This window comes from Homo sapiens, chromosome 11 (assembly GCF_000001405.40).
Source record: "Homo sapiens chromosome 11, GRCh38.p14 Primary Assembly".
NCBI classification, from domain to species: Eukaryota; Metazoa; Chordata; class Mammalia; order Primates; family Hominidae; genus Homo; species Homo sapiens.
This window is the reverse complement of record NC_000011.10, coordinates 6,627,695-6,642,901: the sequence shown is the minus strand read 5'-3', so window position 1 is coordinate 6,642,901 and position 15,207 is coordinate 6,627,695. Positions and strand designations below refer to the sequence as shown.

Genomic DNA, 15,207 nt, shown 5'->3' with positions numbered 1-15,207 from the left:
AGTTACCATCAAAGCAGTGTCATCTCCTGGATGCCCATAAGTGCCTCCTCACTGTCCAATCTGCGTGATCTTTGCTTTCCAAAGGACTGCAATAGCCATCTTCACAAAATATAGGTCATATTCTGGCACTCCTCCTTGAAGTGCTTTAGTGGCTTCCATTTGCCTTTAGGATAATGTCAAAATCTTCAATACAGCTTACAAGTCCCTGTCTCATTTCATACCCTCTGCCCCTAGCACTATGCTTCACACACATGCCCCCCCCACCCCACCCCACCCTCAGACACTCTGAGCCCCACCTTGACTGTAGGCTCTAAGCCTTTCCACATACTGTTCACTCTTCTAGAATGTCCTTTTCTCCTTTCTGTATCCCCCTTCTCTGGCCACCATTGCCTAGCTAGCACCTAGTTATTTAGATGTCAACTTTAATGTCACTTCCTAGGCAAAACACGGACTCCCTGACTCCCTGCCTGTGTTGCTTCTCTTATATTCCTCCTTGCTCTTTGTACGCCTTCTTCACAACTCTTACCATACTTGTAATTACTTGTTCAACTCCTGGACTATAAGCTCTATGAAGCCAGAGACCATTTCCTTTATTCGCTGTGGTATCCTCAGTGCCTCTATATTGTAGGTGCTCAATCTCTTGTTGAATGGAGAGAGGAGTAGGGAAGTAGAGCTAAGGAAACAACATCATTCCCTTCCAGCAGGGTGGTGGGTGGGGAGAGAGAGAGAGACTTGAGCATATGTAGTATTGATGGAAAGCTCCAGGAGAGAGGAAAAGGTTGACGGTTCAGGAAAAGTTACCAAATACATGGTTATAGAGGCTGGAAGAAGCGAGTATTAGTTCTGGATGAGAAGAAAATGAGAAAAGAATGTCCATATTTTTAAGCCTAGAAATAGGAAGAAGGGAGTTTGTGGGCATTCAGACCCGAAAAAATAGGATGCATAAAAATCTGCTGAGGGTAGGAAAGGATGAGATCTGCCAAGGGGAAGGCTGGAGTGGCCTCGAAGAGTCCTGAGGCAGAGATCCGTGTGGCCCAAGATGAGTGTGAGGCAGCACAAGGGCCTGCTGGGGGCTGAGCATATCTGAATGTTGATGTGGCCTCGTCCAGGTTATCTGGACTGCTGATCCCTCCTCTGTCATGACCCGTTTCCTTCTGTTTTCTCCCAGGTCAGGGAGCCTGAGCTGGAGCCAGGGCCCCAGTGGGACCTGACCCAAAGTCTGAGGTCAAGCTGGGCCCAGAGCCTGGCCTGGAGCTGGAGCCCAAGGCACAGCTGGACTACCCTTGTCATGCAGAAGGAGCTGGGCATTGTGCCTTCCTGCCCTGGCATGAAGAGCCCCAGGCCCCACCTCCTGCTACCATTGCTGCTGCTGCTGCTGCTGCTGCTGGGGGCTGGGGTGCCAGGTGCCTGGGGTCAGGCTGGGAGCCTGGACTTGCAGATTGATGAGGAGCAGCCAGCGGGTACACTGATTGGCGACATCAGTGCGGGGCTTCCGGCAGGCACGGCAGCTCCTCTCATGTACTTCATCTCTGCCCAAGAGGGCAGCGGCGTGGGCACAGACCTGGCCATTGACGAACACAGTGGGGTCGTCCGTACAGCCCGTGTCTTGGACCGTGAGCAGCGGGACCGCTACCGCTTCACTGCAGTCACTCCTGATGGTGCCACCGTAGAAGTTACAGTGCGAGTGGCTGACATCAACGACCATGCTCCAGCCTTCCCACAGGCTCGGGCTGCCCTGCAGGTACCTGAGCATACAGCTTTTGGCACCCGCTACCCACTGGAGCCTGCTCGTGATGCAGATGCTGGGCGTCTGGGAACCCAGGGCTATGCGCTATCTGGTGATGGGGCTGGAGAGACCTTCCGGCTGGAGACACGCCCCGGTCCAGATGGGACTCCAGTACCTGAGCTGGTAGTTACTGGGGAACTGGACCGAGAGAACCGCTCACACTATATGCTACAGCTGGAGGCCTATGATGGTGGTTCACCCCCCCGGAGGGCCCAGGCCCTGCTGGACGTGACACTGCTGGACATCAATGACCATGCCCCGGCTTTCAATCAGAGCCGCTACCATGCTGTGGTGTCTGAGAGCCTGGCCCCTGGCAGTCCTGTCTTGCAGGTGTTCGCATCTGATGCCGATGCTGGTGTCAATGGGGCTGTGACTTACGAGATCAACCGGAGGCAGAGCGAGGGTGATGGACCCTTCTCCATCGACGCACACACGGGGCTGCTGCAGTTAGAGCGGCCACTGGACTTTGAGCAGCGGCGGGTCCATGAACTGGTGGTGCAAGCACGAGATGGTGGGGCTCACCCTGAGCTGGGCTCGGCCTTTGTGACTGTGCATGTGCGAGATGCCAATGACAATCAGCCCTCCATGACTGTCATCTTTCTCAGTGCAGATGGCTCCCCCCAAGTGTCTGAGGCCGCCCCACCTGGACAGCTCGTTGCTCGCATCTCTGTGTCAGACCCAGATGATGGTGACTTTGCCCATGTCAATGTGTCCCTGGAAGGTGGAGAGGGCCACTTTGCCCTAAGCACCCAAGACAGCGTCATCTATCTGGTGTGTGTGGCTCGGCGGCTGGATCGAGAGGAGAGGGATGCCTATAACTTGAGGGTTACAGCCACAGACTCAGGCTCACCTCCACTGCGGGCTGAGGCTGCCTTTGTGCTGCACGTCACTGATGTCAACGACAATGCACCTGCCTTTGACCGCCAGCTCTACCGACCTGAGCCCCTGCCTGAGGTTGCGCTGCCTGGCAGCTTTGTAGTGCGGGTGACTGCTCGGGATCCTGACCAAGGCACCAATGGTCAGGTCACTTATAGCCTAGCCCCTGGCGCCCACACCCACTGGTTCTCCATTGACCCCACCTCAGGCATTATCACTACGGCTGCCTCACTGGACTATGAGTTGGAACCTCAGCCACAGCTGATTGTGGTGGCCACAGATGGTGGCCTGCCCCCTCTAGCCTCCTCTGCCACAGTTAGCGTGGCCCTGCAAGATGTGAATGATAATGAGCCCCAATTCCAGAGGACTTTCTACAATGCCTCACTGCCTGAGGGCACCCAGCCTGGAACTTGCTTCCTGCAGGTGGGTAGGCCTGGCACATAGCAAGATAGTGTTGGGGGAATCTGAGAGCCACAGGGGACCTCAGAGCAGGAACCAAGCCTTACAAGGTCATCTGTTGATGGTGACTTATGCTAGAGGGTTCTGCCCTATGTTGTAAGCTCCAAAATCTGTGCAGAGGATGAGGGTTAATGAGAAGATGAGAAAGCAGGGTGCAAGAGCTGAGGCAGATGGTCTTGGCAGGTGAGGAAATTAAGATTGGATCTAGTGGAGAAATGATTTGTGGTGTCAGGAAATGAAAGCCTCAAAGCTGTTCTGCAGGGCAGAGATGGAGATTCTACATACGTATGTGGCTTCTGTTCCCCAAAGAAGACACCAGAATTTATGGGGCCCTCCATTGCTTGTCAAGTGCTGGGTTGTGCTGGAAGAAATCCTCATCCCTGCCCTCAGAGCTGAGCCTTAATAGGCCATTTGGTCTCAGACATGAGAATGAGAGATAGCAAGAATTATCTCAATATCCAGAGCAGGAAGGCCTCTCAGGGGAAGAGGCAGGAACCCTGGACAGGCTGAGAAAGACACATACTGGCTGCAAGTCAGTCCTGGAGAAATGGAGGGAACATGAAACTGGAAAGGCACTCTGAGGCCAGGTTGCAGAAGTCCTTGAACACAAAGCAGTAGTTAGGACTACTTGGGAAGCAAAGGAGCTCACTGAACTTCTTTTTTTTTTTTTTGAGGCGGAGTCTCGCTCTGTTGCCCAGGCTGGAGTGCGGTGGCATGATCTGGGCTCACTGCAAGTCTGCCTCCTGGGTTCACGCCATTCTCCTGCCTCAGCCTCCCAAGTAGCTGGGACTACAGGCACCTCCACCACACCCAGCTAATTTTTTGTATTTTTAATAGAGACGGGGTTTCACTGTGTTAGCCAGGATGGTCTTGATCTGCCCTCGAGGAGATCACTGAATTTCTTTGAGCTGGGAAGTGAATGATCAGGTTGGGTTTTATTAAGTTAGCTATCTGGCTTTAAGGGTGATTGGATCAGCAGGTGTGTGACAGATCGTTCCTTGATTCATATGTTCAAGATTTTATTTAACTACTGTAAGCCTAGCACTGTGCTAGGCCCAGAGAACAAAGAAAAGAGACAATCCTGTTCCCAGGGTGGTCACAGTCTAGATAGGGAGACACATCAGCAACTAGTGCTGCAGCAGGTGGCGTATGAGTGCTGTGGAAGCCCAGAGGAGGGGCCTTGAAGAACTAATGAAACTTTGCCAAATGGATAATATGAGGTGTGCAGATGGAGACTCCAGGCCTAAGGAAAGAGCTGCTGAACAAATACCAGGACGTGTTCAGGAGACTGTATTGTTCAGGCTGGCATCAGCTGTACTAATGAGAAAGAGTCGGGGGAGATGAGAAAAGACAGTAGACAGGAGCCAGGTCACAAATTCAACTTTATCTTGAAAATCATAGGGAGCAAGTGAAGGACTCTAAGCAAATCTGATATGTCTTTAAGAAAGATTGCTTTGGCTGCACTGTGGAGAATGGCAGCAGGAGAGAGGACAGTGGGCAGGGAGTCCTCTTAGGAGGCTGGTGCTTAGTGTCCTTATGTCTCCAAACTCCACCAGACTCTTGAACATCTCCTCAGGGCATAGACTTCCAGGCTAGCTCTGGGCCTGGCTGACCTCTTGTCCTCTGGCCAGACTCTGCATATTTGCTCGCCTGCTGCTGTGCAGCTCCACCACCCACTCTTCCACGTGTTTACTCTCCTTCTTGTCCAGGACCAATGGGCTATGGCTTCCAGACTTCTCTCCTCACTAGTGCCTGAAGCAAGAGGGCAACTCTCCAGGTGGTTTCCTGGAGTTTTTACTATTAGTAACCATAGAGAATCGGGGTAAAAATGACCATTTGGGGTTTACAACTGTCACAAGAAGTCTTAATGTTTGATTTATTCAATATACATGTATTGAATGTCTACCATGTGCTAGTCACTGTATTAGAGACACGGAATACAGTCATGAATGCGTCACTCCCCTCATCTTAAGGAGTTTATAGAGGGGAGATTCATGTGCAAAGAAATAGTTTCATTCCAATAAGAACATTTCCATTTGGGGATATATATGAGGTACAGATAGGCAGTATGAGTGCTTTCCTGAAGGAAGGGATCCCTGAGTTGAGACTTAAAGAATGAGCAATTTATGAGAGTATCAGATGGGGGAAGGCTTCCAAGCAGAGGTGAGGTGCACAGAGGTGTGGGAGGGCCCAGTTTGTTCAAGGGCCTACTAGGGGCTCAGGATCTCTGGAGTTAAGACTGGAGATGGGAAGGTGGGAGATGAGACTGCAGGGAGGCTCAGCCAAGTCAGAGGGTTTGAGCTTTTTTCTATAGCAATATTATCAGATTTGTTTATGCAAATGGTAGTCAATGTAGAGCAGTGGTTCATAACCAGGGGTGACTTTGCCCCCCAGAAGGGATATTAGCAATATCTAGAGAAATTTCTGATTGTCACAATGGGTGGGAGACTATTGGCATCTAGTGGGTAGAGGCTGAGAATGCTGCTAACCATCCTGCAAGGCACTTAGCAGCTCCCATAATAAAGCATTATCTGGTCCAAAATGTCAGTAGTGCCAATTTGAGAAACCCTGGTGGAGAGTACAGATCAGAGGGTCAGACCTCTATGAGAAGGTAATCAAAATAATGCAGGGGAGCAATAACTCAGGACAGCTCAGGCCTAAGTCAGAATGGTGATAATGGTGATGGAAAGGAACAGACAAATAGAGTTAATGAGGACTTACTTAATCCCTGGTTGATTGATATACCAGGTGAGAAAAGGGAAGAACTGATTTCTGGCTTTAGCAACTGTGTGGATGGAAGAGTCATTAGAGCAGGTTTGGAATGATCATGAGTTTAGTTTTGGGCTGGTCGGATTTAGGGTGCCTGTGGGACATCCAGGTGGAGGTGCTGAGCAGCCATCTGGATGTAAAAGTTGGGAAATCTCAGAGGAGTGGTCTAGAGTGAAAGTATAGACGATGGCTGAAGTAAAAGGCAAGGCCCTGAGAGAATGTGTGGAGTGAGAAGAGGCCAAGGAGAGATTCCAGGGAACAGTGTGTAAGAACAGGCAGATAAGGGGAGATGGAGGAAGACTGGCAGTGGGTGGTGGGGGAAGCAGTGGGTGGAGAAGCAGGAAAAGTAGCATCAAGAAGTCATAGCAGGAGAGATGGGCATGGTGATGCATCCCTGTAATCCAAGCTACTCGGGAGGCTGAGGCAGGAGGATTACTTGAGCCCAAGAGTTCCAAACCAGCCTGGACAACATAGTGAGAGCCTGTCTTAAAAAATAAATAAAGGCCAGGCACAGTGGTTCACGCCTGTAATCTCGGCACTTTGGGAGGCCAAGGTGGAAGGACTGGTTGAGGCCAGGAGTTTGAGACCAGCCTGGGCAACATAGTGAAACACTGTCTATGCAAAAAATAAAAAAACTAGCCAGGCATGGTGGTGCACGCCTGTAGTCCTAGTTGTTCCGGAGGCTAAGGCAGGAGGATTGCTTGAGCCCAGGAGTTCGAAGTTGCAGTGAGCTAGGATCACACCACTGCACCCCAGACTGGGCAACAGAGAGCCTGTCTCAAAAATAAATTAAATAAATAAATAATTTATGTTTTGAAAAGTCAAAGCAGGAGGTACACCTGGAAAAGAGGTTGGGATAGGCATATGGAGTAAGTTTCGAGGCTAGTAAGAAGTTTAGAGAGTTCACAGATAAGTGTCTTTCTTTTCTCCTTGAAATAGTGCATCTGATGAGAGCAAGGGATGGGATGGGGGCAAGAGAAGAGGGATGAAGTTTATTATGGCTTTGGGGCAGAATGGGAGAGGGAGCCGACCAAGGTCGGACTGAGACGCTGAGCTGAGAATCTGCTGAAAATGGAGACTGTATTTGCAGTGAAACCTCTGAGCAGGGGTTGTACAGGCCAGGAAATTCACTTCTGCCTTGCTCATTTCCAGTCAGTGGCCCCTGTGCCTTTTGGGGTCACTTCCTGACAACTTCCCCAGACCACTGTTTATTGCTTTCTTCCTGCAGCGAGTCAGAGGGCAAAGGTCGTTAACAGCTTCTGGAGATGGTGCCGCAGCTGTGCTGCTGCCTGCCAGGATTGATGTAGGGGAAGTCTGTCTCCTGGGATATCCGGGCCCACAGCCACAGTAGAGAGTTGGAGCAGAAGCTGTTTCCAGGGTTCAGCCATGGCAGGGTCTTGGTGTCTCTCAGGAGGGTAAACAATGGCACAGATCATTTCTGTCAAGGGTCTGGGCCACAATCAGAAGTCCTTGGCCAGCTTTCTCTCTAAGCACATTTTCTGGCTGAGAAAGGGGAACTCTCCAGCTTCCTCTTGCAGCATATCCTGACCCTGAGGTCCTTATATCCACAAAGAGCGCTTTGTCACAGGCTACAGTTGTCAGCACCAGCTAACCCACTATTGAGGGCCTAATGTGTACCCAATGTATAAAACTTAGTGTGAAAGAAGGTTTTGTTACAAAGCAGGATGATCAGACCGTCGATTTACTCGGTGAAAAAATACACATAAAGCACCTACTATGTACCTTGCACTGTACTAGGCTAACGATGCATGAGCCACACACCCATAAATCTATAGAACAGACCCTATAGTGATCAGATCCCAGTATTAATCAGATCCCACTCTGTAATAATCAAACTCAATAAAGATCAAACCTATAAATCAGTCTCAATAATTCCACTGTCGGTGAGTTCTTGGTTTGGGGTGATTATGAGACTTGGTGAGGGTATTAACTTCCTGGACCCACCTGGAATTTGAGGTCACAGCCCTTTCTTCTTTCTAAGTACAGTTGGTCCTCATTATTTGTGAATTCACTTAATCTCGAAAATTTATTTGTAACTCCAAAATCAATACTAGCATTCCTGGACATGGGCAGAGAGATGAAAAATTTGAGTTACCTAATGTTCACATTCCCAGCACAGGGTGAACAAGACGATGTTCTGCCTTCTCATTTGGGCTCTCATGCTTGTAAACAAATGTCCCTTTCAGGTCTATTTACTGCAACTTTTTTTTTTCATTTTTTTAGTGCAAAAAGCTGATGATTTCACTGTTTAAATGGTCCCCAAGTGTAGTGCTGAAGTGTGGTCTAATGTTCCTCAGTACAAGAAGGCTGTGATGTGTTGTATGGAGAAAATACATATGTTAGATAAGCTTTATTCAGGCATGAGTTACAGTGCTGTTGGCTGTGAGTTCAATGTTAATGAATGAACAATGTATATTAAACATAAGATGTCTTTAAACAGAAACACACATCAAACAAGGTTATGTATTGACCAGCTGACAAAAAATGTTATGGCTAGAGGCACTTAGGAACCTAACTAAATGGTGAGGTACAGGCTGAGGTTGGGTTTGGGCCCATGTCCTACTAGTCCTCTCTGTGTGTCCGCCATCCAGAGACTTAGCACCAGTTGTTCATTCTAATGGCCACCTACCTCTGGCTTTTCTGGCAAAGAAGAGGGGACACCACTCACCCCAGCCTCTCCCTAGGTGACAGCCACAGACGCGGATAGTGGCCCATTTGGCCTCCTCTCCTATTCCTTGGGTGCTGGACTTGGGTCCTCCGGATCTCCCCCATTCCGCATTGATGCCCACAGCGGTGATGTGTGCACAACCCGGACCCTGGACCGTGACCAGGGGCCCTCAAGCTTTGACTTCACAGTGACAGCTGTGGATGGGGTAAGTCAGTAGACCAAGGGCAGGTTGGGATGTTGGGGTAGGGCACTCACCAGGGCCAGATGAGGCCCACCTGACCTATGGCTGCATGTCCCACCAGGGAGGCCTCAAGTCCATGGTATATGTGAAGGTGTTTCTGTCAGACGAGAATGACAACCCTCCTCAGTTTTATCCACGGGAGTATGCTGCCAGTATAAGTGCCCAGAGTCCACCAGGCACAGCTGTGCTGAGGTTGCGTGCCCATGACCCTGACCAGGGATCCCATGGGCGACTCTCCTACCATATCCTGGCTGGCAACAGCCCCCCACTTTTTACCTTGGATGAGCAATCAGGTGAGGATCCTCCCATTCCCGGGGCCTTCCCCCAGGTCCCCCTCCCCACCTGCCTAAATGATGTCCTACCCACCTCCTCCATAACCTTTCTAGCCCTATTATGTTTCCTTATATATCTCTGCTTCTATTCTTCCTCTCAGGGCTGTTGACAGTAGCCTGGCCCTTGGCCAGACGGGCCAATTCTGTGGTGCAGCTGGAGATCGGGGCTGAGGACGGAGGTGGCCTACAGGCAGAACCCAGTGCCCGAGTGGACATCAGCATTGTGCCTGGAACCCCCACACCACCCATATTTGAGCAACTACAGTATGTTTTTTCTGTGCCAGAGGATGTGGCACCAGGCACCAGTGTGGGCATAGTCCAGGCACACAACCCACCAGGTATCATTTAGCTTTATACCCACTTGGTGTCAGACCCAAATACCCCAGTATAACCCTCCAGCACCATCCGAAGATACCTTAGAGTATCACAGGGCAGATAGCCCCAGTATAAAACACTCCTGTACCAATGCCCAACACCTCCTTAGGCACAGTGCAGGCACACTGCTTCATGAGGCATAGGAATGTCACCTCAGTGCGTGCCAACCAACTTCTTTGCCAACCCCTGCCCCTCCTCCTAATATTTTGAAAGGCATGGGTGTGGGCACTGCCCAGTCCTTCTCGGGATCAGACTCTGGGTCCTGACTCAATAAGTGCCCCTCCATCTCTTTCCTGATCCCTTTTTCATCCTCCCTAGGTCGCTTGGCACCTGTGACCCTTTCCCTATCAGGTGGGGATCCCCGAGGACTCTTCTCCCTAGATGCGGTATCAGGACTGTTGCAAACACTTCGCCCTCTGGACCGGGAGCTACTGGGACCAGTGTTGGAGCTGGAGGTGCGAGCAGGCAGTGGAGTGCCCCCAGCTTTCGCTGTAGCTCGGGTGCGTGTGCTGCTGGATGATGTGAATGACAACTCCCCTGCCTTTCCTGCACCTGAAGACACGGTATTGCTACCACCAAACACTGCCCCAGGGACTCCCATCTATACACTGCGGGCTCTTGACCCCGACTCAGGTGTTAACAGTCGAGTCACCTTTACCCTGCTTGCTGGGGGTGGTGGAGCCTTCACCGTGGACCCCACCACAGGCCATGTACGGCTTATGAGGCCTCTGGGGCCCTCAGGAGGGCCAGCCCATGAGCTGGAGCTGGAGGCCCGGGATGGGGGCTCCCCACCACGCACCAGCCACTTTCGACTACGGGTGGTGGTACAGGATGTGGGAACCCGTGGGCTGGCTCCCCGATTCAACAGCCCTACCTACCGTGTGGACCTGCCCTCAGGCACCACTGCTGGAACTCAGGTCCTGCAAGTGCAGGCCCAAGCACCAGATGGGGGCCCTATCACCTATCACCTTGCAGCAGAGGGAGCAAGTAGCCCCTTTGGCCTGGAGCCACAGAGTGGGTGGCTATGGGTGCGGGCAGCACTAGACCGTGAGGCCCAGGAATTGTACATACTGAAGGTAATGGCAGTGTCTGGGTCCAAAGCTGAGTTGGGGCAGCAGACAGGCACAGCCACCGTGAGGGTCAGCATCCTCAACCAGAATGAACACAGTCCCCGCTTGTCTGAGGATCCCACCTTCCTGGCTGTGGCTGAGAACCAGCCCCCAGGGACCAGCGTGGGCCGAGTCTTTGCCACTGACCGAGACTCAGGACCCAATGGACGTCTGACCTACAGCCTGCAACAGCTGTCTGAAGACAGCAAGGCCTTCCGCATCCACCCCCAGACTGGTGAGCACAGAGACCCAAATCCTGAGACCGCATAGCCTTATCCCCAGCCTGGTGAACATTCAGACAGGATCCCCAACCCCCAGCTCCCATCTCGCCCCTGAGAATGAGGATTTAGCCCTGGCATTCCCTCCCCCACTCCCCAAACACCAGCTTCTTAGGTGCAGGCCTCAGGCTCTGCATCCTTAAACATCTCGTACATGATCGCCTTCTTGCACTCCCAGGAGAAGTGACCACACTCCAAACCCTGGACCGTGAGCAGCAGAGCAGCTATCAGCTCCTGGTGCAGGTGCAGGATGGAGGGAGCCCACCCCGCAGCACCACAGGCACTGTGCATGTTGCAGTGCTTGACCTCAACGACAACAGCCCCACGTTCCTGCAGGCTTCAGGAGCTGCTGGTGGGGGCCTCCCTATACAGGTATGTGAAGTGGCAGGACTTTGTCCTGAGAAGTGTGAGAGGGAGTGGGGATCTCCCCATAGAGCTGTAGGTGTAGGTAAGAGACTGCCTCCTGGATTGGGTGTGAGAGCCGAAAAGAGGTTCTGCCTGCCCACAGGTGAGGGAAGCTTTATCCTGAGTTGTCTGAAGAACAGGAAAGAGACTCACTAGGTGAGTTGTGTTCCCACAGGTACCAGACCGCGTGCCTCCGGGAACACTGGTGACGACTCTGCAGGCGAAGGATCCAGATGAGGGGGAGAATGGGACCATCTTGTACACGCTAACTGGTATGGGAGTGGAGAGAGGAGAATTGGTGGGTGATGGCATGCCCTCATGGCCTGCCCAGCTCTGGGCCCCAAGCCCTCATCTTCCTCTGCCTGTCCCCAGGTCCTGGCTCAGAGCTTTTCTCTCTGCACCCTCACTCAGGGGAGCTGCTCACTGCAGCTCCCCTGATCCGAGCAGAGCGGCCCCACTATGTGCTGACACTGAGTGCTCATGACCAAGGCAGCCCTCCTCGAAGTGCCAGCCTCCAGCTGCTGGTGCAGGTATGGCTGCCCTTCCTCCCCTTGGCTACCGCTGTAGGTCCCCTTCAGTAGCTCCAGCTTCACGGGAATCCTTTGGCTCCACTAGCAGTCAGGCTACTCTGACCACTTTCCTACCACCTGGGAAGCCAGCCCAGATCCCCTTTTACACGGGCCCTCACAATTCTGTTCTCCCTCCCCGGTCCACAACAGGTGCTTCCCTCAGCTCGCTTGGCCGAGCCGCCCCCAGATCTCGCAGAGCGGGACCCAGCGGCACCAGTGCCTGTCGTGCTGACGGTGACAGCAGCTGAGGGACTGCGGCCCGGCTCTCTGTTGGGCTCGGTGGCAGCGCCAGAGCCCGCGGGTGTGGGTGCACTCACCTACACACTGGTGGGCGGTGCCGATCCCGAGGGCACCTTCGCGCTGGATGCGGCCTCAGGGCGCTTGTACCTGGCGCGGCCCCTGGACTTCGAAGCTGGCCCGCCGTGGCGCGCGCTTACGGTACGCGCTGAGGGGCCGGGAGGCGCGGGCGCGCGGCTGCTGCGAGTGCAGGTGCAAGTGCAGGACGAGAATGAGCATGCGCCCGCCTTTGCGCGCGACCCGCTGGCGCTGGCGCTGCCAGAGAACCCGGAGCCCGGCGCAGCGCTGTACACTTTCCGCGCGTCGGACGCCGACGGCCCCGGCCCCAATAGCGACGTGCGCTACCGCCTGCTGCGCCAGGAGCCGCCCGTGCCGGCGCTTCGCCTGGACGCGCGCACCGGGGCGCTCAGCGCTCCGCGCGGCCTGGACCGAGAGACCACTCCCGCGCTGCTGCTGCTGGTGGAAGCCACCGACCGGCCCGCCAACGCCAGCCGCCGTCGTGCAGCGCGCGTTTCAGCGCGCGTCTTCGTCACGGATGAGAATGACAACGCGCCTGTCTTCGCCTCGCCGTCACGCGTGCGCCTCCCAGAGGACCAGCCGCCTGGGCCCGCGGCCCTGCACGTGGTAGCCCGGGACCCGGATCTGGGCGAGGCTGCACGCGTGTCCTATCGGCTGGCATCTGGCGGGGACGGCCACTTCCGGCTGCACTCAAGCACTGGTGAGAGTTAGGTCTGGGAGTGAGGGCGAGGAAGGTGCTGATGTGGAGTGTTGGGGTCCCCACCAACCTGCCTTACCGCTCACCTAGGAGCGCTGTCCGTGGTGCGGCCGTTGGACCGCGAACAACGAGCTGAGCACGTACTGACAGTGGTGGCCTCAGACCACGGCTCCCCGCCGCGCTCGGCCACGCAGGTCCTGACCGTCAGTGTCGCTGACGTCAACGACGAGGCGCCTACTTTCCAGCAGCAGGAGTACAGCGTCCTCTTGCGTGAGAACAACCCTCCTGGCACATCTCTGCTCACCCTGCGAGCAACCGACCCCGACGTGGGTAAGACCTGGGGGGGTGAATTATGAGTGGGATGGACTGGGGCAAGAAACAGCATTTTTACCCTCTGATCGCCCTCCATGCTGCCCCTCCTCAGGGGCCAACGGGCAAGTGACTTATGGAGGCGTCTCTAGCGAAAGCTTTTCTCTGGATCCTGACACTGGTGTTCTCACGACTCTTCGGGCCCTGGATCGAGAGGAACAGGAGGAGATCAACCTGACAGGTACATGTTGACAGGACCCCAAGAGCCTGAGTGAGGTGTTGTAAACACCAGTGTTACCTGGATAGAATACCCAAAGTACTACCTTTTAGAAGTTTTTGCCTATTACCACAAAGCTCCTGTTATGTTTTTGGACCCTTTTGGGGAGTCGAGAGTTTGGCAGGGTGCAAGGTCAACTGACTTCTAGACTGTCACAACTGTGACCGTACAAATTCTAAAATGCATAATGTCACAGCTATGCCCTCCAGGCCTCCCTCAGATACTGCAGCCATTTAACAGAGGAGCATTTTGATACTGAATATTGGAGAGGTCAAGTGACTTGCTCAAGCTCATGCAGCTTGGAAGTGGCAGGGCTGGGACTTGAACCCAGATCTTTTCATACCTCATTTAGTGCCTTTCCTGTTACACCACCACTAGTCCAAGATATATCTTGCATGCACCAAGCATGGGAGGTAGGACACATGTATGTTTATGTATGCATGACACATGTGTGCCTGAGAGGTATGGAGAGATGGACATTTTCTGGTTTGTGTGCACCTAGTGAACATGTATGAACACTGTGTGGTGTGGATTTCTCCATGTGGTGAGGGCAGACTAGACCTCATTGATTTTGCTTCCCCACAGTGTATGCCCAGGACAGGGGCTCACCTCCTCAGTTAACGCATGTCACTGTTCGAGTGGCTGTGGAGGATGAGAATGACCATGCACCAACCTTTGGGAGTGCCCATCTCTCTCTGGAGGTGCCTGAGGGCCAGGACCCCCAGACCCTTACCATGCTTCGGGCCTCTGATCCAGATGTGGGAGCCAATGGGCAGTTGCAGTACCGCATCCTAGGTGAGAACCTTCCCACTCCCACTTAATTCAGCACCCACTTGCCTGGTTCTTGCTCCTTCTTGGCTGCTGTCAGCCTCAGTGCATGTGTCTGGGTCTCCTTTTCCCTCTTGATGTCGTCCACCTTTTCTTTCATGCTTATACCCAGTGTAGCTAGGTATCTCATTCCATGCTCTTTATCTCCCTGTGTGTCTCTGTTTCTATCTTCCTATTTCTTTTCTTTCTCATTTGTCTCTCCCTGTAGAGCAGTCGTTCTCAAATTTTTGGTCTCAAAAACCCTTAACACTCTTAATTTTTGAGAACCCTAAGGAGTTTTTATGTGGATTATATCAGTATTTACTGTATTAGATAATAAAACTGAGATGATGTTAAAATATGATTGTGAAACAAGCCAATGAAGTATACAGCTTGCCAGTATTTCTGTGTAAGCACAAGGAAATACTAAGATTTCAAGTAACAATTTGTTGGAAAGTAGTTAATTTCAGAGATTAAAGCAGGTATAATTGAAGATAGCCAGAACAAACTGAATCTCTGAAGACACACAGATTCATGCTCTAAACTTTCTGTCTAGAATATTCTAGAACACACAGGAATACATAAGCACACATTCCCTTAACCAAGACATTATATCATCACGTCATAGAGCATCTGTAAATTCTACTGTACATCTGTGAGATGAGAATAAAAAGGCCATATAATGGCTTAGTAGTGCTATGAAATAATTTTGATCTTATGCACATGAAAAGGACTTGGGGGACTCCCGGGGTTCCCAGACCACACACAAATGATACCAGCTGCTTTATAGTATCTTCTTTTACTTTCTGTTTCTGTTTTTCTTCCTTTCTCTCATAAGGTTCACTTGCTTTTGTGCACATGCTCACTCTCTCCTGTTGTCTGTAAATCACCCCCATCCCCACGACACATGTATA

The 15,207-nt window shown here is 52.5% G+C and overlaps 1 protein-coding gene across 1 annotated transcript in view, besides 2 other annotated features; it reads left to right on the top strand.

Moving 5' to 3' along the window:
- The window catches only part of DCHS1 (dachsous cadherin-related 1), a 34,480-nt gene that overhangs the window by 12,908 nt on the left and 6,365 nt on the right, over positions 1 to 15,207 (top strand). Inside the window, exons 2-13 of the mRNA NM_003737.4 lie at positions 1,169 to 3,085; positions 8,596 to 8,784; positions 8,882 to 9,113; positions 9,254 to 9,490; positions 9,846 to 10,871; positions 11,093 to 11,286; positions 11,495 to 11,591; positions 11,692 to 11,849; positions 12,039 to 12,903; positions 12,991 to 13,230; positions 13,325 to 13,450; positions 14,072 to 14,281. Of these exons, the coding sequence (NP_003728.1) occupies positions 1,289 to 3,085; positions 8,596 to 8,784; positions 8,882 to 9,113; positions 9,254 to 9,490; positions 9,846 to 10,871; positions 11,093 to 11,286; positions 11,495 to 11,591; positions 11,692 to 11,849; positions 12,039 to 12,903; positions 12,991 to 13,230; positions 13,325 to 13,450; positions 14,072 to 14,281 (5,371 nt within the window). The 5' untranslated portion in view covers positions 1,169 to 1,288. The remainder of the gene's footprint in view (positions 1 to 1,168; positions 3,086 to 8,595; positions 8,785 to 8,881; positions 9,114 to 9,253; positions 9,491 to 9,845; positions 10,872 to 11,092; positions 11,287 to 11,494; positions 11,592 to 11,691; positions 11,850 to 12,038; positions 12,904 to 12,990; positions 13,231 to 13,324; positions 13,451 to 14,071; positions 14,282 to 15,207) is intronic.
- Positions 1,003 to 1,572: an enhancer, noted in NCBI's record as "H3K4me1 hESC enhancer chr11:6662561-6663130 (GRCh37/hg19 assembly coordinates)". NCBI's record gives its function as "activates a minimal SCP1, AML or CMV promoter by ChIP-STARR-seq in naive H9 embryonic stem cells {active_cell/tissue: H9 hESC(naive)}" and the evidence as "EXISTENCE:reporter gene assay evidence [ECO:0000049][PMID:30033119]".
- Positions 14,982 to 15,071: an enhancer, noted in NCBI's record as "active region_4352". NCBI's record gives its function as "activates an Ori minimal core promoter by ATAC-STARR-seq in GM12878 lymphoblastoid cells {active_cell/tissue: GM12878}" and the evidence as "EXISTENCE:reporter gene assay evidence [ECO:0000049][PMID:35858748]".